This window comes from Homo sapiens, chromosome 10 (assembly GCF_000001405.40).
Source record: "Homo sapiens chromosome 10, GRCh38.p14 Primary Assembly".
Lineage (NCBI taxonomy): Eukaryota > Metazoa > Chordata > Mammalia > Primates > Hominidae > Homo > Homo sapiens.
Genome location: NC_000010.11, coordinates 113,890,940 through 113,917,583, shown reverse-complemented (window position 1 = coordinate 113,917,583; position 26,644 = coordinate 113,890,940). Strand labels below are relative to the sequence as shown.

Genomic DNA, 26,644 nt, shown 5'->3' with positions numbered 1-26,644 from the left:
CATCCTCACCCTCAACACTATAGGACATCTCCTTTATCTTCTTCTGGCGTTTCTGTAATTTTATTTTTTATGTTATGTCATTAATTCCTTTCAAATTCAGTGTGCAGTGTTAGATAGAGATCTAATTTCTGTTGTTGTTCTTTTCAAATGTTCCCAGTATCGTTTATTGAATAGATTACCCTTTCCCAATATATATATTAAAAATCTCTAATTATGATTGCATGATTTGATCTTGAGGTATCTGCTTGCAGTTAAAAAAAAATTTTTTTTAAACTAAGTATTCTGCTTTCCATTTCCCCAAAAGCTCAAGTAAATCACAGCTTACAGGTTTCTAAGTAGTAGAGTTACCTCATGATATACTTAGAAAGCACATTAAAACAGAAACATGGTTTTAGAGAGAAAATATTTAATCTATTTCACGAAAAAAATGTACAAAGCTTTAGAAAAGAGGCATTAGGTTTCCATATACAGTATAAACACATTCTCACCTTCTATGATCACTTGTATTACACTTCTCTTTGCTAGTAAAGAAGCCACTGCACTCTCGTTCCAAACAATCTTCTGTTAACACATGCACTTGAAAAAGTCACTGAAAAGTACAGTCTTGAAATAAATGTAGAAATACAATGTTGTACAAAAATATATTAATCTGTCTACATGAAACACTTAAAAATGCACACCAAGTACATTCTTTTAGAACTAGACTATGTCTAGAAATACCAATATATGAACTTGTAGATTGGATTTTCGCTGCATTTTTAATCACTGGAGAAAAAAATATAATCAAGCCTTTGGAATAAGAAACATGAAGTTAGCACAGCAGACCAACTCTATTCTCAGAAATGAAACCATAAACTTTATCCATACAAAAGATGGGAAAGAGTTTGAGTTTCTAAAATTGACATATTTATGAAATGTTATAATTTAAAACTGCAATCACACAGCAAACTTTCATTTGTTCATAATCCACATGTAAAGATATGACAATTACAACATTTCTAATTGTCTCTCAATGCAACTTAACAGTGAGAATTTAAACTTAAAAAAAACAGCCTATGTAAAATATAATTAGGAAGGTATACCTCAAAGTAGAGAAAATTAATTTGAACTCATGGGGTATTGTTCCCCTCCTTTAAAAACTGAGCTATTATTAAGAAATGCTACGGAAAAAAATACTACAACAAAATTGTTCTGCCATATCTGTTATTTATATAACCATAATTTCTCACTGAAACTTCTACAGAAACTACTATTGTTTTTAGTAAGAGGGAGGCCTAAGCTGTGGAGAGGAAGCAGTAGTTTATTTTTTACAGGTATATTTTGATGATGAATATCACAGGCATGCACGAACAATACATTCCAACTCTATACAAACAAAAACTTGCTGGCATTTTGAAAAGTGTAATAAATACAACAGGGAGCCCACCCTGTACATGCTCAAAGAATGAATATATTTCCAGTGGCACTAAGAACAGTGACTACAAATTCTAAAAACAGAAGATAGTTGTAGGGCAGAGTCCTTCTAAATGTTCAGAGAGGAACATGTCTATTTTTCCCATTAATTAGCATAATTTATCAACTAATGTTTTGCCCTATTTACCTCAACATATATTTTTCACAAGCTTAGCACACATTAGATAAAGAAGGAATAACAGGCCAGGTGTGGTGGCTCATGCTTGTAATTCTAGCAATTTGAGAGGTTGGTGGCTTGAGGCCAGGAGTTCGAGACCAGTCTGGGCAACATAGCAAGTCCCCATCTCTACAAAAAATTTTAAAAAAATTAGCCAGGTGTGGTGGCACACACCTGTGGTCTTAGCTACTCAGGAGGCCGAAGCAGAAGGATCCTGAGCCCAGGAGTTCCAGGCTGCAGTGAGCTATGATCATGTCACTGCTGCACTCTAGCCTGGGCAACACAGCAAGACCCTATCTCTTAAAAACAAAAAAATGGGAAGGGAAAAAAAAACTATTTTAATTGGGGAGAGTTAAGTCTGAGAGCTGATTTTGTCTACTTCTCAGCATCAGTTTGAGGTCTCCTTTCATTTTATTTCAAATGGAAATAGATAACCAGGTATATTAAAAGCAAAAGGTAGTAAACTATGTCCGTATTATTCACACTTGGAAGTTTTCAACATTAAAAAATAACTGACCATTTGCTTAATGCTATATTACTTAAAGCCACCAAGCCTGTGGTAAGTTGCTGCTTAAAGAGGAAGGAATTCATACCATGCCCTGACAGTTACAAGAATGCTTTTTGGTATAAGGCTATTTAGTGTTCATTTGTGCTTGTTTAGTGCTTTTTAGTATATGGCTGCTTGTACAGGTAGGGAAGTATGTTTGCAAATAGTTGCAATATTTTCCTTTTGGTCCTGTGGCTTTCAACAGAACAAAATGTCCTTTGGTACACTTGAAAGCGACATGCCAGTGAAGAAGAGGGACACACCAATACAACCAGGCAAACATTCCACAGCAAGTGTCTAGGGTTTTCACTTTCCAACTCCAACCCTTGAAAAGAATTAAACCAAACCAACACACTCAGAAACAGGTGGGATGCAATCAGAAAAGCCGAGTGGGGCTGCCTCCTGTTCCACCTTACCCAGGCTCTGTGATTGGGGCAGCCTTCTGCAAGCCTGAGGCAGCCAGGCGAACCTCCAGAGCTCATATGTAAAGGGGCCAGGGTTTGTTAGCCATGGAATACATATAGGTAGATTAGTAAAGCCTCTGACTTTTAATACTATTCTTTATATTATCCTATTGCAAAGACATGGGAAAAAAGCAAACTCTTAATTATTCAGGACAAAATAGTGACATGATTATTGCTAATACTTCATTTAAATAAACTGTGCCACAGGGGGAAGAAAAGGTAATCTTGGTGCTTAACAGTGGATTCTACTTTTAAAATATGACACTATTATCACTTTCTTATTATCACATTTCCTTACGGATTTCAGGAGAGGGAGTTTATAACAAAATTAACAAAATTCCTTACTGCACCATACTACTACTTAATTAGCACACTAAGAATGAAAAGTTAAGTCTGCATTCTGTGTTTAGGTGATCATGAATCATAATCATTGGTACGTAGCATTTTGCTTAATTCCTTTTAATAGTATTTAGTGCGCTGGGCGCAGCGGCTCACGCCTGTAATCCCAGCACTTTGGAAGGCCAAGGCAGGCAGATCACCTGAGGTCAGGAGTTCGAGACCAGCCTGGCAAGCATGGCGAAACCCCATCTCCACTAAAAATACAAAAAATCAGCTAAGCGTGGTGGCAGACGCCTGTAATCCCAGCTACTCAGGAGGCTGAGGCAGGAGAATTGCTTGAACACAGGAAGTGGAGGCTGTGTTGCCATGGCACTCCAGCCTGGGCAACAAGAGCAAAACTCCATCTCAAAAAAAACAAAAACAAAACAAAACAAAACAAAGTACCTAATGCTAGGCTGGGTACGGTGGCTCACGCCTGTAATCCCAGCACTTTGGGAGGCCAAGGCAGGCGCATCACATGAGGTCAGGAGTTCGAGACCAACCTGGCCAACAGAAACCCTGTTTCTACTAAAAGTACAAAAATTAGCCGGGCATTGTGGTGGGCACCAGTAGTGGTGAGCGCCAGCTACTTGGGAGGCTGAGGCAGGAGGATCACTTGAACCCGGTAGGTGGAGCCTGCAGTGAGCTGAGATTGTACCCTTGCACTCCAGCCTGGGTGACAGAGTGAGACTCCATCTCAAAAAAAAAAAAAAAAAACAAAACAACAACAACAAAAAGTACCTAATGCTGGAATAGGTTGACCATGGTGAAAACTTTACTGTAACAGAATTGCATATATTAATATTTGAGTCATGGGGAGGGGTCTGCATACCAGTGTTATTTATGAAACAAGAAAGCAGAAGACTGTATTTCCAGAGCTCACTTGGACTAATATTTAATACAACAAAATTTTCTTAAATATGAATAGCTTCTTAGGGTTTGAGATAGTCCTGTGCAAAAGGCTCTTTATGATAAGGTCTTAATTACGTTTTGAAGACCAACCGTTAGAACTTTTAAAACAACTTTTGAAACAGCACTGTTGAGAACTAACACTGGAAAGCTATTTTTTTAATACATCCATCTGCCAAGAAAAACTCTGGATAATATCTGAAATTAAGAAAAAGTAGTACATAAAATCTTTTGACAAACAATTATAGACTGTTCCAAGGTCTGAATAACAGTATATAATGCAAAGTTGTATAATTAAATGGATTTATTTAAATTGCAGAAACAATCATTGCTAGTACTTTTGGGGTTCTTTGGATTAAGTTACTATAAATATATAAAGTTATGAAAGATTTATGTTTTAAGAAAACCTACTTTAAGAGGCAATACAGCAGAGAGTTGAACAGACTCCCATCCAGGCCCTGCCACTCGCTAAATGTGTGATTTTGGTTATGCTGGTGTATTTGATTATGCTTACCCTCTCTGTGTGCTTCTTCACCAATCAAATAAGGAAAAATGGTATTTCTCACATAAGGTTGTTGTGTGGATTAAATGAGTTAATACATAAAAGCACTTAATAGATGAGTGCTGGAAAATAGAAAGAACTCAATAAATATCTACTCAATAAATATCTATTATTCTTGTTATTTTATGTGAAGGCTTAAGAAAGTGTCCATGGAAGAACTCTTAATTGAGCAGTTCGTTTTCCCTCTGCATCTTGGAGTTAGGAATGAGGAGACCCGTGCCTGAATAAAGGCTCCACCACTACTTCCCCTTGTTTGACAGAAGTGAACATCTGCTGGCGCCAGGCACCACTTCAGGCATCGAGCACTATTCCGGTTTTCTATTCTTCAGATACGTCACCACTATTCCAAAGCTGTCTCCTCCTCTGTAAACTAACATCTACCTGCCCGATTTATAAGGTTATTTGAAGCTCAAATGAGGCAATACACATGAAAGCACTTTGAAGATTTTGTGAAGCACCACCATTGAAGTGAAACTTTTTGGTTAAGATATAAGTACTCTGGTGCAGGTTGTTGGGCATATGTTGTAGGAATGTGGTTCAGGATGAGTATGTCTGGACCCTCTCAAAGCAAGTTCATTACTTGTAGCTCCAGAAAGTCGTACAAAAAATTTTTAATAACACTATAGGCATGCTTCTTTATAACTACAATGTTGTTTATAAAATAGTTATATGCTTCATTATAAAACATTTCTCTTCTTGAACCCAACTCTATGAAGAATATTAACATAACCAATAGTTAGTGGGAGATTTTCCTTCACAAATTGTAGTTGCAAAGAAAATGTAGGGTGATATGTGTTTATGGTCCCAAATTATCATTACAGTAACTAAGCTAATAATTACCAGTTTCATTAATTACTAAGTGCTGTACACACAATATTTCATTGAATATGAGGCAGGTATATCAGCCCCATTTTAAAGGATTAGAATCCAAGTTACTGCAAAATCCAAGCTCTTAACCACTACACTACGTTACACAATAAAAATAACAGAACAAAAAAGCCATAACCATTGCTATCTTCACGAAATCACGTACTTAAGAGAACCGGTAGATCAAAGGACTCCAAACAATGTTCTGAGCTCTGGTAATAAAAATGACTTTTAAAAAGTTATTATATAAGTGCTTACGATTCAGTTAACTTTAACTCTTTAAACTTTATGGGTTTCCCCCCACCGTGATTTTAAAAATAACAGATTGCTCACTGAAAAGAAAAAAAAAACAGCAAAGTAGAATTAAAATAAAAACATCCATAATTCCTTCATTCACAAGAACTATTGACATTTTCCCTCTGCATATATTCTTATGTAACTGTTAACTATAGAATTTAAGTAGATTTTGATGATTGTGGTTAAACGTGATGCCAAATCTAACTATCGTATTTTTAACTGGTAGACATAAATTAATAGTAAACTTTGTGCAGGCAGAAAACTATTACATTATAGAGATATGTATTTTTAATAACTTCCTAAATTTTCCAACTACAGAAAAACAAGCAAAGAGTAACTTATCTCAGTTATACAAGCTCAAAAGTATATTGGCCATAAAAGAATCATGAATAATTCTTAATCTTTGTGTATACACACACCTATATAAATATACACATAGTAAATTTTTTTTTCTGGCTGTTAGGATTTATAACTTTCTGAAGGTTTGATAATATTATAACTAAATATTATTAGAACAGTTAAGAAAAAAATTATTTTTCATAGTCATTGAATTTTGCTAAAGTTACACTTATGGGTGATTAAACTACAAAGTTTTCTCTTGTTAAATATTTGCTTAAGACAGAATGTTCAAGATAAGCTAAACTCTTTACAAGAATCATATCAAGAAATTCTACCATTTGTGAAATAATAAAGAGGAGAGGAAAAAAATAGCGACAAACCAGCAGAATAATTTAGGGCAAAGATTCCAGGTATTATATAAAATGTGTGTAATACCACATTACTGGCATTTCAAGTGAGGTGACTTACACTAAAATCTTGTTCTTTTTAAACTATCACTGGACATAATAATTTATCCAACAAGAAAAGCAAAAGATAAAAAATATGCATTAGTCCTTATAGAATATGGATCAACAAGTTTTAAAAATAAACTTTCTAGTGCTTCCTCTTATGTGAGAGGTTTATCCTCGTCATAAATTCTAGGAACCTATCTATATTGCTTAAGTGTGATTTTATTCAAAATCATATTAGTCTACTATAAATAATACTTTTAATGTAAAAAACAATGCAGACTGGCAGTGGGTAAGAATAAGAATGTTCAATAAAACTGTATTTTGAAAGTCAAGAAAAGTATAAGCTAAGGCTAACCTAAAACTGTCTAGACAAATGAAGGGGAATAGAGTCTAAAAAATGCCTTTGCATTTTCACTGTACATGAACATGTATAACAAACACTGTGTTTGTATATTATATTGAAAAATAAACTCAGATATTTCTAAATTAGTAAATTAAAATTGTATATACTTCATTTAGAGTGTGAAATTGTTTAAGTCCTTAAACAGAAAATGATTGGGCCAAAATATTCTCATCCTGTCCATCTAGAAATGAGAAACATAATAAGTCAAATGAGATTAAAAATTAACTAAGGCCAGTAGGGCAAGGTGGCTCACACCTGTAATCCCAGCACTTTGGGAGACAGAGGCAGGCGGATCACCTGAGGCCAGGAGTTTGGGACCAGCCTGACTGACATGGTGAAACCCTGTCTCTACTAAAAACACAAAAAAATTAGCTGGGCATGGTGGTGTACGCCTGTAATCCCAGCTACTTGGGAGGCTGAGGCAGGAAAATCTCTTGAACCCAGGAGGTAGAGGTTGCAGTGAGCCAAGATCGCGCCACTGCCCTCCCAGCCTGGGCTACAGAGCCAGACTACGTCTCAAAAATAAAATAAAATAACTAAGGCCTATTCTCATAAAAGAGAGTATGTTATACACCCTTTTATTACAGAACATTTCATTTTTTTGATTGCTTGTGGAGAGAAAAGGTTTATGAGGTAATTACATATAATTTTAAACAGGATTCCTTTTAATTTTATATCTATATTTCTCTTTAAAAGTAGCTTCAGTAGATGACTAATTAAATCAATGTCATGATTTATACATCCTTACTTCAGAGATTCAGCTAACCTTATGAATAAAACAAACTAATACTACATTTCAAACAAAATTAAAAATAGACAATGATGTTTAAAAAAGATTACACTTCAAATTTAGCACTGTTTTTACAGGGAAGGGAAGCATATTATGCCATATTGTCTATAAATATTTACTGAATAAATAAACATGGTTCACCTGATGTTTTTAAACCCTTGTAAGCTGATTAAATCACAAACATGTTGAATAGGTCTTAAGGAAAACAAGATTAGGCTTTTAAGTAGTTATAAATTATGACAATAGAAAAAAAACCTTTCCAATATCTTTTTTTAGGGATAAAAAACAACAAAAATTAAAAAATAGTATCATTAAATCACTGTTTCGGCCTTAATATTTTGAAGACTAATATATTAGGATATACTGTATCTATTAATAGCATGAAAGCACCTCACACTGAAAATTTCACTTTTAAGGCTTAAAAGTGATTTTTAAAAACATCACAATAAATGATCATAATTTAAATTCTGAATATGGGAACGAAAAAAACCTCAAAACCTAAACTCAACAAATCTGCATTTAATGCTTACAAGTGAAATGTACATTTCCAAAACAAGATATGTAACCATCAGATTTAGCTGTCACAATAAATTATTTATCACAGACACTAAGTAATGTGTCCTAAAGTCCCTTTTTCCTTGAAAGTCATAATATTTCTGGGGACTCATTCATTATCTGGTAATGTAGTCACTCAAAAACAGTTAAAGGAGTCAGTCCTTAGAGATTCTATGTCCAACTTTATCTGTACAAAGTTTTAAGGCATTCATAATGGTATGTTAAATAACAAATAATTTATAATAAAAATAGATCAAAACTCTCTTTTAAAAATATCTCAACTGAGAAAACCACAGAAGAGAATAAAGATCGTATTTACCACTGATGTACTCCTTAAGCTTCTACAGTGATGAAAAGACTTTTTTTTGGCTTACAACAGACTTTATGCCTTGAATACTTGGTGTTCTTATACAAATGTGGCCTGGAGCTTAAGTTCTGCCTAAAGTTACTGTGAAATTTACACATTCAAGTGTGCTGATTGCTATTAATAAAGGTAGAAAAAGTTAGTTAAAATATCTGGTATTATTATTATCAGTATTTATTGCAAATTATCTTATAGTATTCTCTACTGTAGTGTGAACTTCAGTCTTGTGCCAAATAGCAGCATAGATTACAATATCATGGTACCAATGATGATCAATGACTCAGCTAGTATCAGCCAAAGCAAAGGAATTTGTTTATAATAAAAGAAGTAAGTAAGGAGCATAGCTTTATTTTAATATCAGTTGTCTGAACTGAGCAATGGGCATCTTGGTATCCAGAGGCAGAACTGAAGTTTTCTTTCCTTAAATTACAGTGATAGTCAGGATGGGAGACAGTAGGTGGTGGCAATGGGTTGCTAGCTAGCTGGCTGGCTAAAATACATACCTGAGCTCTACTGGAGCTATGCAACCTTGCTGTGTATCCGTTATTTGTAAAGGCTGACTGAACAAAATTGCCTTCATCATACAAGCACTGCTGTCTGCACTACAGTAATAAAGAAACACACTGACAGATACAATGGCTTCAAGTGATAAGCAATCATCAGGAATTTGTAGTGAAATTGTTGGTTGACTGGAAATGTTCTCTATATCTCCAGCTGCTATCTGTCCTTGAAGTAGCCATTCATTGCCTAAAAATCAAAAATGAAATTATTAAGACTGTATAAGATAAGTAGAAAACTGGGAACATCTTATGAAGACTAGATAAACTCGATCGACAAATATTTATTAAAAAATCTCTAAGTGCCAGGCATTGCGGTCTGTGGGAAGGACATAAATATACATAACATATACTGACCACTCATTAGAAGTTCCCAGTCTGATGATTATTACATCTAATTATTATAGTTCTTCCTTTGGATACTATAAAATAAATTACACATTTACTCTTATTAAAATCAAGCTGAATATTGCAAATATGGCTATAAAGCCTTAGTCTCTAAAGTTAAAAATAAAACCTATTAAATTTTAGAAATAAACATACGACACTTGAGAAAATGGATCATTTTTACCAAAGAGATGAAAGTCTTTAGGGATATAAAAACTACAAAATAAAATTTTATCTAGGGAATACAAATGTATGTGCAACTCTGTAGTGACTTTCTGGTTAATAATGAATTATTGAATATCTAAAAATAATTTAAAAATACACACACACTTTATTTAGAAACAGGTACCATTGCATATCTATTCTCTGTGGGCTTAAGTAATGTAAAAACCAAGAGATTTTGTATATCTCATTATAATACGTAAAACTCTTCCTAGAAATAAACAGACTATCTATAACAAAAATCGAATAAACCACTAACAAATTTTAAGCCCTCAAGAATTAAAATCATCTTTAAATGTCTTTATTCATCTCGACTTTCTCTTAGAAGGAACACACATGTCATACTGGGGAAGCACAGACACATACAGACATTCAGCCTAAAAAGGTGGCAGCCCTCAAGAGCCAGCATTTGGGAAATATATGAAATGCTTTCCCACCATGTAAATGGAGAACACTGAACATTTTCTAATGACTCATCTGTACAAAAACTGGACCACCTACTGAGTGTGATGAAATGCTGTCTACTTTTTAGCTTTTCTGTCTCTTTCTTTTGTTCTCAGGGTAAGTAAACCGACTCAGAGTGCCTGCCTTTATCAGTCCTCTTGATGTCTCTTTTAGTTTATTGCTTTAGTTTACTGAAAAATCAAATTTGAGAAAAATATGTCAAATAAGAGTACGAAGGTGAAAGATAAGAATCTAGAGAGATAAGTACAAAACTTCTATGCTGAAGCTTTTAAAGAATTCTTTTTAAATTCTCTTTAAAACTCTTTGGCTTTCTTTGTTTATTCCTGGGTTAGAGAGTATCTTTTATCTAATGCATGATTTTGCTAGAGAGATTAGTAGAGAACTTCTTATATTTTATTTATTATTTTTTGAGACGGAGTCTCGCTCTGTCACCCAGGCTAGAGTGCAGTGGCGTGAGCTTGGCTCACTGCGAGCTCTGCCTCCCTCCCGGGTTCACGCCATTCTCCTGCCTCAGCCTCCTGAGTAGCTGGGACTACCCCACTACCACACTCGGCTAATTTTTTGTATTTTTAGTAGAGATGGGTTTCACCGTGTTAGCCAGGATGGTCTCGATCTCCTGACCTCATGATCTGCCTGCCTCTGTCTCCCAAAGTGCTGGGATTACAGGCGTGAGCCACCACGCCTGGCCAATTTCTTATATTTTAAATCAAACAAAGAAAATAATACTGAGCTATTTTAATGTCCAAATCTAGAAATAAAACAGAAAATGTTTCTTTAGATATTTGTCATATATATCACACACACAATTTGTGAAGTTACAACACATGTGGTGCTTTTATGCTGCCTTTTTTTTTTTGGCTTAAAACTTGCATATATTCTAACTTCTTTAAGATTATACAGACCAAAATTTGGCTAAAAATAAGTGTTTCTAAATAACAAGCCAAAAGAGAAAATGTCCTTTAAACATAAGTGTACAAATGTACTCTATAATATTCAAAAACCTTAAATTATTAGGATTATTGCCTGAAAATTATCTGCTACTATATAATAAAAATGGGGCCCATATCTTGGACAAATTAGATAAAGTCTCTATAGACTACTTTATTTGAATACTATCTGTATTTTATATCCCAATGACTCAATATTAATTAGTGTGTCTGACAATGCAGACCAATGTTAATCTGTCAATATCCTATTTTAAAAATTAGTACACTGCTCCTACAGTGACACCATTTAATACACTGCTCTAACAGTGACTGCTCTTACAGTTACACTGAGAAAAATTAATGTTCTCCAACTGATGTAATACTTCCAGACTTAAATTGGCAGTCTAGAACTTGCTCTGAACCTACAAAAGGCTATGGAGTGGCCAGGGTTTGAGTATTCTTCTGTCTACAAAGCAAGCTCCAAAGGTCCTAGTACATGGTTAGCCTTCCCCCTTGTGGGAAGTGACAAGGGGTGGTTTCCCTACAGACTCAATCACCCTAGAACCAGCCTCCCAAACACTAACCAGCAGTTCCTCCCAGCCAGTCTACCAAGATACCGTTATCCTCTTGGTTTAGACACTAAGTTGATATTATAATTGCAGGCCAGTGGCTGCTGCCCTGAGAAAGTTGAAGGTAAGAAGGAATGAATTACCCAGGATTTGGGTAATGTACAAAAGAAAAGTGTGTGAGAGGGTATGAAGGAGGAGGAGTTGGGAAGGAAATGGAAAATTGAGTGAGAAAGTGTGAAAGAGCGTGGGAGACCAGGACAGAGGAATATCATTAGAGACAAGTTGTAATTTAGAAGTTCTGAACCACTAAAATTTCACTTTAAAATTTTTGTCCACCAGGTTACAGATGTTGGAATGCATACTGCAAGGCAAGCAGTATACTGATTCCTTACCATAGATTAATGAAATAAGGAGCTAGCTCATACTGTGATTCACAAATAGAAGAAAGGGAGGAATGCCCAAGAGTGACTGAAAGGAAGAGTCACAGAAAAAGATGTTAAATACGAGGGCTCCACTTTCTCTATTTCAGACTTTTTAACTCTAAGATTCTTTTTGGAACAAGAATAGAATGAAGAACAGGATCAGAATAAGGGATGAGGTATAGGAAAACCCACATTCCAAGAAATCATGCTAACAACTGACTTGTAACTTTTGGTGAGTTACACTGTTCTTTAATAAAAGGGAAGAAAGACTCTTGATGAGTAAAGCAAATGGCCAATGTGGGGTTGGATCTGGATTCATTTGTTCATATGATCTTCAAATCTTGCCTATACAGAGTAAAAATATCACCTAACAAATAAAAAATAACTAGATTAAACATCAAGAATATATGATGTATTAGTATTTGCAAGCTTATACTCATACCTTCAGCTGTTAGAAACCAGCAACTGGATACTCCTTCAGTTAGCTTTGATCCTGATGGGAGGTCTAATCTGAGTTTGAACTGAAGAGTCTGGCCAGCACACGCAGTCACGGGGGAAAGCCTAATGCTTGGAGCAGATTTAGGTAGTTTGGGTAATGTCTTCTGTTTTTCTACTAGGAACGGGCCATCTACCACAGCATTTTCAGATCTGAAGATGGGGAGCTAGGAAATAAGAAAATCTGTTATTAAAACACAAGAACTTTATATTAATTATAGAATGAGAGCATATTTTTAGACTTTAGTAGAATAATGAAGTTCTATGTCAATGAAACTAATCGCCATTCTAGTTTGAATTAGAATGTGTTAGATGCCCTCAAGATTATTTTCGTAGACACAGAGAAAGTTTATCTTAGCGACAACAACAAAACCCAACACTTATGAATGAGGCAGAATTAAAGTAACTGTCCAATGTATATAGACGGCAGGAAATTAAAGCAAAAGTTTATAAATTTAAACATGCTAGATATACATTTTCTTATAATTTTCATTGTCAACTATAAGAAGATGTTATTCATCTTATATCAGAGATCTACGTGAAGAGAAATGACATTTATGTTGCAATAGTAATCTATGTTTCTTTTAAAAATATACCGTGCAAATTACCAGTTTTTCAGAAAAAAACTGTTGCATTTTTTTCAGGTAAATGTCATACATCAAGAGTTAGTTTATAATAGACATTTCCCCTTGAAAATTCTATAAGAAACCACGTCCATATCTTTAAAAACTGACTATAACTCATTTAAGTTTCTTCCACAATCTTATTTTCGATGTCTTGAGAAAGTGGCTTCTAAAGCTTTTGTTAGATTATTTGGTAATGGATTCATCACAGGCAAACAAAGGTTACATGTTAATCTAAAGATCACTGAAAAAAAAAAAAAAACAAAAACAATAAGCTAAATAACCCAACCCACAGAGCAGGTGTATGTAGTGTATGTCAGTATGTCTGTACACTTAAAAACAGATCTGAGTCCTCTCCTTTTTTTTTTCTTGAAGGTTCATTAGATTATCTCCAATTTCCAGTATTTTTCTCAAACTCTCAGCACAGATGGAACTTTTATTTTAAGAATAAAAGGATATCCTTAAAGCAGTCCTGCTGGTCTCTTTGTCAAAGAATACAACAGAAGCATCCACTTAATACTCTCCTGGAGATGGTCTAACCAAAAATGCCTCTGTCAGTGCTGTGAGGATCTTAGTATCATTCTTAAAACCACATTCTTTAACTTATATTTTAAAATTACTTACCACAGATACCATTTTAGTTTCTAAATCCATCACTTTAATTTGATGATTATTGGTGTCTGCTACATATAATAATTCTCCATTCTCTCCAATACACAAGCCTCCTGGTTCATTAAAAGTTGACTCTGTAAAACTGGAACTGGTAACATTATTTGTGTCTCCAGTTCCTGCTAATGTTGTACAGTTTTTTGTTTTTGGATCCACAACTTTAATCTAAAAAAGAAAGAACAAAAACTTATATAACTGAAGATCAATCTCATGTTTGTTGTATGGAAGAGTATGGTATCAAGCAAGCTAATTTCTGATTGCCATTAATATTCTCAATAAGTCTCACAAAAGGAATAGTTATTTCCATATTTTCTTGAAAAGCCAAACATTCAAATTGCAGTCTAAGGGGAGATATTCTATTCTAAGAACTAAAGACTATGTAAAATCCTTAGCTCCATCTTGTCTTCTGGAAGCAATCTTTGATGAAGTTATTTCTGGAATTAAAAAAAATTTTTTTTTATTGAATTGTTTTTCTTCACAATGGGACACACTTTCACAACTGAACTGACTTTGTCTTCCTGAGCATCTAGCATTGCCTGAGAATTTGCTACCTTTGTTAAACTTAATGATTGACAGTTATGTCTCAATTATATTAAATTTATGGTCTCACATCATGAAGTACTGCATGAACATTTATTATCCACTGATTTTTGTAAAAAGTAAAAATGCAATAAAACTTAAGACAATTTAATAGACAAAAATGGAAATGCTGAAAACAAAATTATTTACTAACAAGCACTGTAACTATGCAACAGCTCAAAAACGTTCATTTGTTAGATGACATATAAATTTCCCTGCTACTTGCCTTCTCTTGATATACTGAATATGTTACTAAGCAGCTTTGATGGGTTGCAATTCACAACTGTTGGCTATTGCCATTGGAACTGGTTCTGTGCTTTCCCTAGTTCAGAATACCATCATAACCTCTTGGCAAAGAAAGGACCAAGAAAAGAGCAGAACAGGCTGGGTTATAGTTGTCAAAGACTGTTACTCCTTTCTATATTTTAGAGTGGCAGTTGTAGGAGGCTCACAGATCTTTCAGCATTTTAAATGCCACACACAAAAAGCAAGATATTATATAATTCTGTCACGACTCACCTTGTGATTGTAGGAGTCTGCAACATAAAGTAAATTCCTTTTTTTGTCCCATGTTACTCCAAGGGGGTGTTGAAGCTTTGCATTGATTCCTACTCCATCAACATCACCAAAAGCAAATAAATTCTTTAATTTTTTTTAAAAGAAAAGAAACAGCAGTTATTATAATTTTTACAGTGTTTTGTTAGAATATGAAGGAAAATTCAAACAGTTACAAATGGTATTTAAGTTAAAAGGGAAAATGCTGATTTTCATATAAATAGGGTTGGATACTTCATTCAGATTAGAAAAAAAATGACAGTATTTTGAACCTGTATTAATTGGTGGTGCTTAGTAGTTTTACTCACAATACTACATCTGGTCAGGAATAGGTCAAGTCCACTAGTCTGGTGCTCTTTCCACCCCACTGCCCAATATCTAATTTACATTTTTTTCTTTTCTCCAATAATCAATGCTTCATCCTTTCTTTCTCCCTGAAACCTTAACATTTATACATAATAAAGTAGAGTCAGTTCACTTTTCTTAGATGGTGTGTTCCTCACGTTGCTTTACATTCACATTTCCTTTGGTCTGACTTTCATTTTGATTCGCAGATAGGCCAAGGATGGTCTCTCTTAAATCTTATTAACTTTCCATAATTCACAAAATTGACAGCTTGCTCAGTGTCCGAGCGCACTGTGCAAGAGTGACTGTCATTACCATGGGGTCTCTTTCTCCTCCTACGAGGTGCTTCACTGCTCCATCTTTCAGTGAAACGGTTCTCACTGTACTGCTCTCACTATCTGCTACAAACAAGCAGCTCCAGGGATCTTCAGAGGCCAAGGAAAGGCCTGAAGGTTGGGCAAAACCTGCCTTGTGAGGATAGGCATTGTTTCGATTCTCTTCATTTCCACTTCCAGCAAACCTAAGGCAGGTTCCTTTTGTTAACTCACTGAAAAAGACAAGTTCATAGGTGGAGTCAACATGTGGTATATTGTGTGCAATTTAGTTCTTAAATAAATGAATGTGAATAATCAAATCAAAAGTGATAAGCCTCCTAAAAAAACAAACTAGTGATCTTGGTCTAGTTAAATTGTTCAAGTCAGCTTTCATTATCATTTTTCCAACCATTAACTTATTTACCCACTGTGTAGGGAACTTCTTACTTTACTTTGATACACACAAAACTGAAATCACTTTCAAATGTTAAACGACAAATCCCTGATAGAATTATAAGATAAAAATAATGATCAGATTATTGATGAGATAGGTTGTTTTTACTACCTTAAATTCTTAACTTCTTAGTTTCATGCAATATGAGGTTCGGAAAGGGAACTAAAAAGATCATCTAGCTCTTGATAGTTTAAAGCTTCAATTTTCATTAAAAATGTTTTGTGTTCTTATATATAAACAGAGACCAGCAAAAGGAATTAAAGAATAGTTTTTGAAAGTTGGCCAGGTCAGACATTACTATTATATGAAAAATAATATAATTGTACATAATTATCTTAAAATTACATGGGATAATTATGTACAATTATATCGATTGTACAAATCAATTTCTTATATACATTAGGGAAATTTCTATTTAAGGAACTATTGCAATGATTCCTTTTGTAATGCAGAGAAAGCTTTAGATCCTGGTTTCTAAGTTTATTCCAGAGAGACTGTAAAAAAGACATGGTAGTGTGTTGTGTTGAGGGAAGGGAAGCAGCTGACTCGGGACACAAAATGAGAGTCTGTGTAAATCATTTCTGAATATGGTACAACATGCAAAAGTCTGAACTCACCATCACTTACTGGCTAATATGTTCCCATAATAAGTTAGGTAGGGAGCAGGGGACAGAGGCAAAGGGATTTAGCACGCATAAAATATGGCCACTTATTCAAGAAACATATAAACATAGCAAGTACAATATATGTAATAACTAATATGCTGAACAAATTAATTGAAAGGAGTCTACAAGGAGTCTTAATACTTTAAAAAGGAGTTTCCTTAATTAAATAAAGAAAAGAGTAGGGAGAAACAATAACTTTTAAAATGCTAAGGGTCATTACTACCTGAAGATCGGTAATAAAGATAATACATCCTTAAAATTAAAACACAGGTCAGTGTGGTCCTAGTGCCAATTTCCTATTAAGAAGGAGAGTGACAACTCTACTTATGAGGAAATTCAGGCAGCTCTGAATCATCTATGCCTAAAACAGCCATCACCCAGAACAGCATATTCTGGCAACTTCTGTTACTTCTCTGCTGTTTATAATTATGCCTCATGTAAAATCTTATTGGTAATCTCACTGTTCAGGCTACTATCATCTCTTGCCTGGATAACAGCAATAGGCTCCTCAGTGGTATCTCTTATCTCTGTCTCTAGTCTTGTTCCACTCTGAGTGCTGCCAATGTTCTTTCAAAAACACAAATCTAATCATGTCACTTCCCAGCTTAAACCTTTCTAAAAAGGCTTGTAGAATATTCAGATCCCTAAAAGTACTCACAAGGCACAGTGTGATCTGGCTTCTACTGACATCACTAGTGCCAATTCTTGCCTGGAAAACTTTCCACTCTCCCTAACTCCTATACTCTTATCAGGTCACTGTTTAGTTGCCTCTTCCAAGAAGCCCTCCTTGACAACTCAAATCTTACTGATGTTGCGTCTTCCTCTTACTTATATAAGGAACAATTTCAATTTTTTTTTTTTTAAACGGAGTCTCACTCTGTCGTCCTGGCTGGAGTGCAGTGGCACAATCTCAGCTCACTGCAACCTTCCGCCTCCTGGGTTCAAGCGATTCTCCTGCCACAGCCTCCTGAGTAGCTGGGATTACAGGCAAGCGCCACCACGCCCAGCTAACTTTTTCTATTTTTAGTAGAGACGGGGTTTCACCATATTGTCATTCTGGTCTCGAACTACTGACCTTGTGATCTGCCTGCCTCGGCCCCCCAAAGTGCTGGGATTACAGGCGTGACCCACCGCACCCAGCCGAACAATTTCAATTTGCAGCGATTCCTTTTGCACACACTAACTTTTAATTGTTTGCTGATCTGATTCTTCCTCTGTAAGTTCACTGATGACAACCACATCTTTTCATTGTATCCTTAACATAGTGAGCATATTTCATCCCTATTGCCTAGCATAAATATTTGCTAAACGATTAAATGTCTTAAAACATTACATAAGTGTGTCCAAAGCAACATGCACAAACATACACACTATTTGGAATATCTGCTATTTTGAAGGATCTATATAAAAGCAGCTTTCTATTAATAACGGTAACTTGCAATGATCATTTTCCATGGCTACGTGACAGCCTTTCCGGTTAACGGCTTTTATTCATTTATCCTCAAACCGTTACTGAGCTCCTCTTAGGTACCAAATACTGTGCTAGGTACAAGGGACAGAAAAATGAATGGGAGAGGATCCTTTCCTTTAAGAGACTAGTAGGAGGAAATGGCTAAAAATAAAAACAATCAAAAGGAGAGAAGAGAGAGAAAGAGGAAGGGGCAGCGGGTTGGGGCAGGAAAACTTAGTGCAGTGATGTAACTATACACCAGGTACAGTGAGGTCACAGAGAAGAGTATGGCCAGTTCTGCCTGGGGTATTGGGGGAAGAGGAAAGGGTCTAAGGAAAAAAAATATGAGAAACTTTGCAGACACTACCCTTTCATCCTTATATCCTTGTGACAGCAAAGCTACCTATGTTTACTGTACATGTTAGGTACTATGCCAAGCTCTCCACATATATTATTAATTCTCAAAGCAAGCCTATGAGGTAATATAAATAAGGAAACTGAGGCTTTGAAAGTTAAAGTGGCTCTCCTAAACTCACACAGATAGTAAATGGCAGAGCCAGGATTCAACCTCAGGCCTGACTACAAAAACTGAGTTATTAAGCACTCTGCTATGTGGTATTCAACTGTTTGAATGAATGATTAGAGATAGTTCAACTATGTCTTAAAAGATAAGGGTCCACTGAATATTCTTAGTTCTCTTTCTAGACAGTAAGGAGAATGATTCTTTGCAGGTTCCATGAAGTGAAGTGTGGCCCTAAGACTTACTCTGGCTGATAAAATGTAAGTAGAAGTGACGTGTGTCACTTCTGAGTAGAAATTTTAACAGTCAGTGAGTGACTTACTACCTCTTTCTCTCTCACTGTGCCAGGATGACTGGCGAAGCTCCCGAAAGCTCCAGGCTGTTTCATCAGCCTGGGCAACAGAGGAGTGCTCCCCAGTGAACCCATGTGAGTGAGCAATAAACACGCCTTGTTTTAAGTCACTGAGAATCTGCGTTGTGTGCTATGGCAGTACAACCTAGCACATCCTGACTGGTACAGTGAGGATGGTGATTTTGAAAAAAGAAATTATATGAACACCAAGTAGTACAGTCTACTCAAAGAGAGAGGCTGTCACTTACTTTTTCTTTGGCAGTTTGCCAGAGTCCAGCAGGAGTGCCCATATCTGATGAGTCCCTGCCATGGCTATCCATAAAATGTCACCTCTTTGGACCTCTGAACCTTTATAAAAATAAATCATTATTATTATATACATATCTGGTTAATACAAACACTCCAATGGTTTTAAAATGTTAAATTTATGGAGGATAACAATATGTTTGTGAATCATCTGATAAATAAAAATATCTGCAATGTTTCAAGTTATCTTTGAAAATTTTGTTTTCTTGTGAAAGGTTTACTTTGTTAGACTTGTAATTTTACCCACAACAATTTCACAGGAATCCAAAGTATTCTTACCAGCAGTAAGTCCTCTGCATCTCTGCATCTGAACTCTGCCTCAGCAGTTTGTTAATTTTACAACGAGCATTAACAATGTTTTAAACATCTGATTTCTTATTTTACATGACATAAACTATTAAAAGTGACACTGGCACACATATATTCTGGGGACTGTCTCTGCTTAATCACCTTAAAACTACATCAAAAGCTTTCCACAATTAATTTTTAGCATACCACAATGTTTCAGTTATTCTAGAGCCACAACCCGGGACTACGAAAATGAACAGGAAACCTAAGCTCATAAAATATTCTGTTATGTTACATATACTGGCATCCAAATAAAAGGCTCAAAGCACACGATGCACTTAGAGTAATGCTTGGAGGCAATATCACTCAAATGTTAGCCATGATCATTTAGTGAATCTGGACCTTAATTTTACATATTTGTACTAGGAAAACATAAATACATTTACAAACTGAACAGCCCTTCAATAGACACCATAGAGGGTAAAAAGTATAATACAACCTCTTCCACTTAAGAAGTTCATTAATTTTACAGTGAGTATTAATAATGCATGTATTACCAACAGATCATATTTGGTACCTAAGAAAGCACTCAGTTTAGAATTGCTTATTTCTGTTAAATCTACCATAAATCTAAGATAATAAACTTTTAGTATTAAACAATGAAAATGACTTTTATGTTCCTGCATAGTCAATGATATTATCAACTATGGAAATGACCAAGCAAAACAAAAACTTCAGTAGGTAAGAGAAATAAAAACATGGAAAGCCCACGAAAATGAATAATCTTATTCATTCTAACTTAATTTGGAATGTTTTCCATTCACAATATTTCAAAGCATTTATTGGTTCAAAATTTTTTTTTTTTTTTTTGAGGCGGAGTCTCACTCCGTCCCCCAGGCTGGAGTGCAGTGGAGCAATCTCGGCTCACTGCAAGCTCCGCCTCCCAGGTTCATGCCATTCTCCTGCCTCAGCCTCCCGAGTAGCTGGGACTACAGGCACCCGCCACCATGCCCGGCTAATTTTTTGTATTTTTAGTAGAGACGGGGTTTCACTGTGTTAGCCAGGATGGTCTCGATCTCCTAACCTCGTGATCTGCCCACCTCAGCCTCCCAAAGTGCTAGGATTACAGGCGCTCATGAGCCACCATGCCCAGCCAGTTCAAATACTTTTTTTTCTTTTATTTATTTATTTATTATTATTACACTTTAAGTTTTAGGGTACATGTGCACAACGTGCAGGTTAGTTACATTTGTATACATGTGCCATGCTGGTGCGCTGCACCCACTAACTCATCATCTAGCATTTGGTATATCTCCCAATGCTATCCCTCCCCCCTCCCCCCACCCCACAACAGTCCCCAGAGTGTTATGTTCCCCTTCCTGTGTCCATGTGTTCTCATTGTTCAATTCCCACCTATGAGTGAGAATATGCGGTGTTTGGTTTTTTGTTCTTGCCATAGTTTACTGAGAATGATGATTTCCAATTTCATCCATGTCCCTACAAAGGACATGAACTCATCCTTTTTTATGGCTGCATAGTATTCCATGGTGTATATGTGCCACATTTTCTTAATCCAGTCTATCATTGTTGGACATTTGAGTTGGTTCCAAGTCTTTGCTATTGTGAATAATGCCGCAATAAACATACACGTGCATGTGTCTTTATAGTAGCATGATTTATAGTCCTTTGGGTATATACCCAGTAATAGGATTGCTGGGTCAAATGGTATTTCTAGTTCTAGATCCCTGAGGAATCGCCACACTGACTTCCACAATGGTTGAACTAGTTTACAGTCCCACCAACAGTGTAAAAGTGTTCCTATTTCTCCACATCCTCTCCAGCACCTGCTGTTTCCTGACTTTTTAATGATCGCCATTCTAACTGGTGTGAGATGGTATCTCATTGTGGAGGTTCAAATATTTTTAAAATGCTACATGAAAAAATGTAAATGATTATGTTTTCAAGTCCTCTACCCAGTTCTCCCATTTTTCTCAATGAAATGTAATTACTCCTATGGTAATGTGATAGACCACTAAAAGAAGAGGGCTCCTGAAAGCATTCCTTCACCAATTCCTTAGCTTTGGAACCAGGTGGGTCTGGATTTGAATTGTAGTAGCTACATCACTTTCTAATGTGTGTGCCTCCATTTCCTCATCTGTAAAATGAGCACATCATCACTCTCTACATAAGATTACTGGAAGGAATAAAACAGTGTAAGCAAAGCACCTAACATGGTGCCAGGCATCATGTTAGGTGCTAAATAATTTGCTGTCTTTCAACTTCTATACCTTAGTGTGCTCCCTCCTTTCTCATCCTAGAAAGCTTACATCCAGATATGAACATTCAGATCTCTGCTCAAGCTTCTTCCCTACTCCCCTTATCTAATACCACACACCCATCATTCTTAGCTCCTTACCTTGCCTATTTTTCACTGTAGAATTTATCACTATCTTACATGTTACATATTTATTAATTTACTGCCTTTCTCCTCTACTGAGCATAAGGTCTAAGAGGCCAGCAGCTTTGTTTTATTCACAGTTTTATTAGCAGCACATAGAATAGTGCCTGGCACATGCCAAATGCTCAGTAGGTATTTGTTGAATGAGTAAACTTTCCCCTAGAAACCACAAAAAAAGAAAAAAAGCCCTAAAGCTATCCTAATGATGGTTGGTATTTCCTAATAGTACTAATGATTCATCTCTAATCCCAGAAGTCTGCTATAGATGTGAACCTGTACTATTATCCTCTCAAACAATGATGCTGAATGGGAGTGGCAGCCCACCCTAAAAAATGCTGTGGATATTTGATGGGTAATATATCATATGATAATATAGTCATGCCAGATCACTTACATAATGACTACACTATTTTATTATAAATTATGCTTATTTCTTCTCTATATTTATATTATGTATATATCAATATATAGCACAGGTGGATTATACTACCTATGAATTTCACTTTAGGTATGGTAAAGGAGGCTTTTCATAAAATGTATTATAGGAAGGGGATCTGGGATCTGATAGGGCTGAGAACTCCAAAGCCACACATAACAATAAAGCCTTTCAACATCTCCAACAAGCTTCCATTCATGATAAAAACTCAGCAAACTAGGATCAGAAGGCAATTTATTTAATCTTATAAAGAACATTTTTAAGAAAGTCACAGCAAACATCCTACTTAAGAACAAAATCCTACAAACATCCCCGAGAATAAAAATGAGACAAAGATACCTACTATCAACACTTCTATTTAACACCTTATGGAGGTCCTAGTTTGTGCAACAAAGAAGGAAAAAGAAGCAAAGCACAAAAAGATTAGAAATAAAACTGTAGTTATTAGCAGATGACATAACTATGCACACAAAATCTTCACAATTTTATACAGGAATTTAGCAATGTTGTTGGGTACAGGGTCAATAAGCAAGGATAAATTCTTTTATCGGTTTACAGCAGCAAATATACAAGAAAATTTATAACGACATTCAAAAACATCAAACACCTAAGGGTAAAAAAGATTTATAAGCCTTCTACACTAAGAATCATTATTGAGAGAAATATAGACAGATATTTTTATACAACTTATCTTGATTGAAAAGTCAGCTCCAGCCAATGTTAGGACCTTATGGGTAACAAGACTGGAAGGTTGACCAAGTAAATGAAAATAAAAGGACTCCATCCTTTTAGCTTCTCAGGTCATAAGCCTTGGAGTCATCTTTAATTCCTCCTTTTTCTCACATGTCACACATGATCCATCAGCAAATTATGTAGGCTCCTTATTCAAAATATATTCAAAATCTGACCACTTCTCACCACCTCCACCTTGACCTAAGCCACTATCAGGGATTACTGCAAGAATTCCTTCTGAACTGGTTTGTCATCCTGTTCCCACCTTGAAAACTGCATTTTTCTTTCTCTTTCACATCAATGTCCCACTCTAAGAAAATCTCATAAGGGTGAGTTAGGCAAATTTAGCTCTAAGCTTTAGGAACAAAAACATTTGCTTTTCTTAGCTTGCTTTTAGAGCCTCTGTCTTGGCAAAGGAGAGCTATGTTGGTGCATAGCTGAGTGAAAGATCAAATTTAACTTTGTTATCTAGTTCTCCAAACAGGTCGGTCTAGCTCAGCTGGGGCTTACTATAATAAGGCAAAAGCTTCCCAGTGATAGATAAAGTATGGGCATTGGTTTAGTTTTGGTCTCTGTGTACTTATTTCCTTCAGATGCCCGAGGAAAGAGAAAAAGTAGAGAAGCAGCAGCAGTGTCAGGTCAGGGTTCAGGTGTTTGGAATTCTACATACCAACTTATGAGGATAATGATAATCATCACCCAGGTCACTTTCTGTGTTGATGGCACCGAGCTAATAATTTTACGTGGATTATTTCCTTCAATTTAACAACCTTAACAAGTCTTATTATCATCATCTTCATTTTATAAAAAGCCAGCTTCAAAGAGGCTAAATAATTTGCTGAAATTCACCCAGCTAAACTTGGAAAACGACTTCATTAGTGAATCTGACTCTAGATTATGAGTGTTCTGATGAGAATGAAGGAACTATTTGGTTCAGTTCTCTACTTGCCCGTTTTTCACCCTCCTTCTGCCTCTGACCCATGCAGACTTAGCTCTGGTAACAAGTACTCAAGTGCATTTCTGTCTGTGATCAGAAACAGGGATCTGATTAAATGTACCCACAGCCTCCTACTCCGGGATGCATAGTGAGGTTTACCCCTCTGCCTTTCTCTCCCTGTACCCCTGGGAATGGTCTATGGTTGGATAATGTCTTTAAAGTTATTTTCTAGTCCCTTGCCTTCCCATTTTTGGTTTGGTTCAGATCATCAGCATCTGTTCATGACACTTTATGACAAAATTCTTATCTTATAGAAAACAGTGATAATAGCAAACATGTATATTATATTATGCTTTCTATGCACCAGACACTGTTCTAAGTGCTTTACATATATTAATTCTTATCCTCATGGTAAGCCTTTCAGGTAGGCACTATTTGTATCATCAATTTAGATGGGGAAGTTGAGGTATAAAGAGGCTATGAAACTTGTCCAAAGTCACACAACTACTAAGATGTGGAGCTGCAAACCTAGCTGGTCTGGCTCCAGAGTCCTTGCTCACAGCCACCGTGCTAGACCACTTCTCCAGAAATTTTTACCCTGAGCACTGAAGAGTTTGTTTTTGTAAACAAAATGAAAGTTAAAAAAAAAAAAAGAGGGCTGGCATTTATAATGTCTATCAAAGTAACAAGAGTCATATTAACAATTTACAACTGTTCATCCTGGAGTGTGGCCTCCAAAGCACACAGTTCCATCACTGAGTATGGGTATTAGATTTGTTCCCTCTAAAAAGAATGTGGTAATCATGAACATTTCCATTTTAAATTAAGAGTATACTTACACCTACACAACAAACCTCATACATACCTCCCAATCTCAAATAGAAGGTAAAATTACAAAAAAGAGTGCACTTAATATTACTGACTTTCAACAATCACAAATTAAAAATTTTTTAAAACGACAATGACAGAGGCTGAAAAGGTTCTGAAAATATTTTTAAAGGCAAAACTCACTCATAATTATCAGTAGAGATTAGACATATTTTTAGAAAACAAATAAAATCAACAAAAGAAATATCAACATGAAAATTACCTGAAATCCAGCTTTAAAAAAATTCTGTCATTTTAAGTACCTATGACTAGAACCCTCCTAAGAGCATCCGTGAAATTCTCCATCAGTGCTTCTACACAGATTTGTTTCTACAAAGTCTCTAAACCTCTTATGAATCAAAGTCTTAAGCCACTAGGGAAGGGCAGCAAAGCCTGTCACTTTCCACAGAGCACAGGAAAATACCATTTACAGCTGTGGAAAAGGTAGATGAAAAAATGCTCTACTGACACCAAGCAGAGTTCTCATTCTGCTAGGGGAGAAACAGGAGGCTCCCCAAACCAATCACAGACACAAGACAGATTCTGGCTGCCAGAGAGAGGAACAGCAACAATGAAAAAGCTCCCCACATCCTTTCCTCAAGGCCTAGGCACTCAGGGCCTTCCCAAGGCTGAGGCTGAACAACAGAGAACATCCCCATACACAACACAAGCCTGGGGCAGAATAACAACGAGTAGCAGTCTATCCCTGGGACGGCTGCAAGAGTGGAGAGAGGGAACCACCATGTGGCTTCATTGTACAGGGACGACTGAAAGCTGAGGGTAGAGCACTAACACTAAGAAAACCCTCCAGCTAATCTAGGCCCATGTACTGAGGCAAAATCAGAAGGCAACAACTGCCCAGCTAGAGGAATTTAAAACATGTGGTGCATTGACATAGCAATAATAAAACCAAGGCCCAGCTCAGCTCCTGACCAAATTGACTCAATCTTTCATAATTATAACATAAGTACTATTTATCTCAGCCTCTATTGTTTTATACAAGATGACTGACATATAATAAATAATGAGAAGACACACATAAAAGCAAAAACATTACCCGCTTCCGAGTAACAAAGGAATGATCAGAAACAGACTCGAGGATAGTCCCCAGATTTGGAACTATCTAATACAGACTTTGAAATAACTATGCATAGTATGTTAAAGAACCTAGAGAAAAAGGTGGTCAACACACCTAAATAGATAAGGAATTTCAGCAGAGATGAATCTGTAAGAAATACAAATGCTATATTAAAAAGGCATAATATTAGAGATGAAAAATTCCTTCTACAAATGATATGGTTTGGCCGTGTTCCCACCCAAATCTCATCTCGAATTGTAATCTGAATTGTAATCCCCACAAGTCGAGGGAGGGACCTGGTGGAAAGTGATTGGATCATGGGGGTAGTTTCCCTCTTGCTGTTCTCATGATAGTGAATGAGTTCTTACGAGATCTGGTTGCTTAGTAACTGTCTGGCACTTCCCCCTTGGTACTCT

At 36.0% G+C, this 26,644-nt stretch overlaps 1 protein-coding gene across 2 annotated transcripts in view; it reads right to left on the bottom strand.

The window, feature by feature from the left end:
* Positions 1-389: 389 nt before the first annotated feature.
* NHLRC2 (NHL repeat containing 2) overlaps positions 390-26,644 on the bottom strand; it is a 62,534-nt gene continuing 36,279 nt past the window's right edge. The window contains exons 6-11 of one of the 2 annotated variants that reach the window (NM_198514.4): positions 19,375-19,474; positions 15,687-15,918; positions 14,991-15,113; positions 13,848-14,057; positions 12,548-12,767; positions 390-9,304 (exon numbers count right to left, since the gene is read on the bottom strand). In NM_198514.4, coding sequence (NP_940916.2) covers positions 9,048-9,304; positions 12,548-12,767; positions 13,848-14,057; positions 14,991-15,113; positions 15,687-15,918; positions 19,375-19,474 — 1,142 coding nt within the window. In that variant the 3' untranslated portion in view covers positions 390-9,047. The other variant, XM_011539769.4, reaches the window with a different exon arrangement.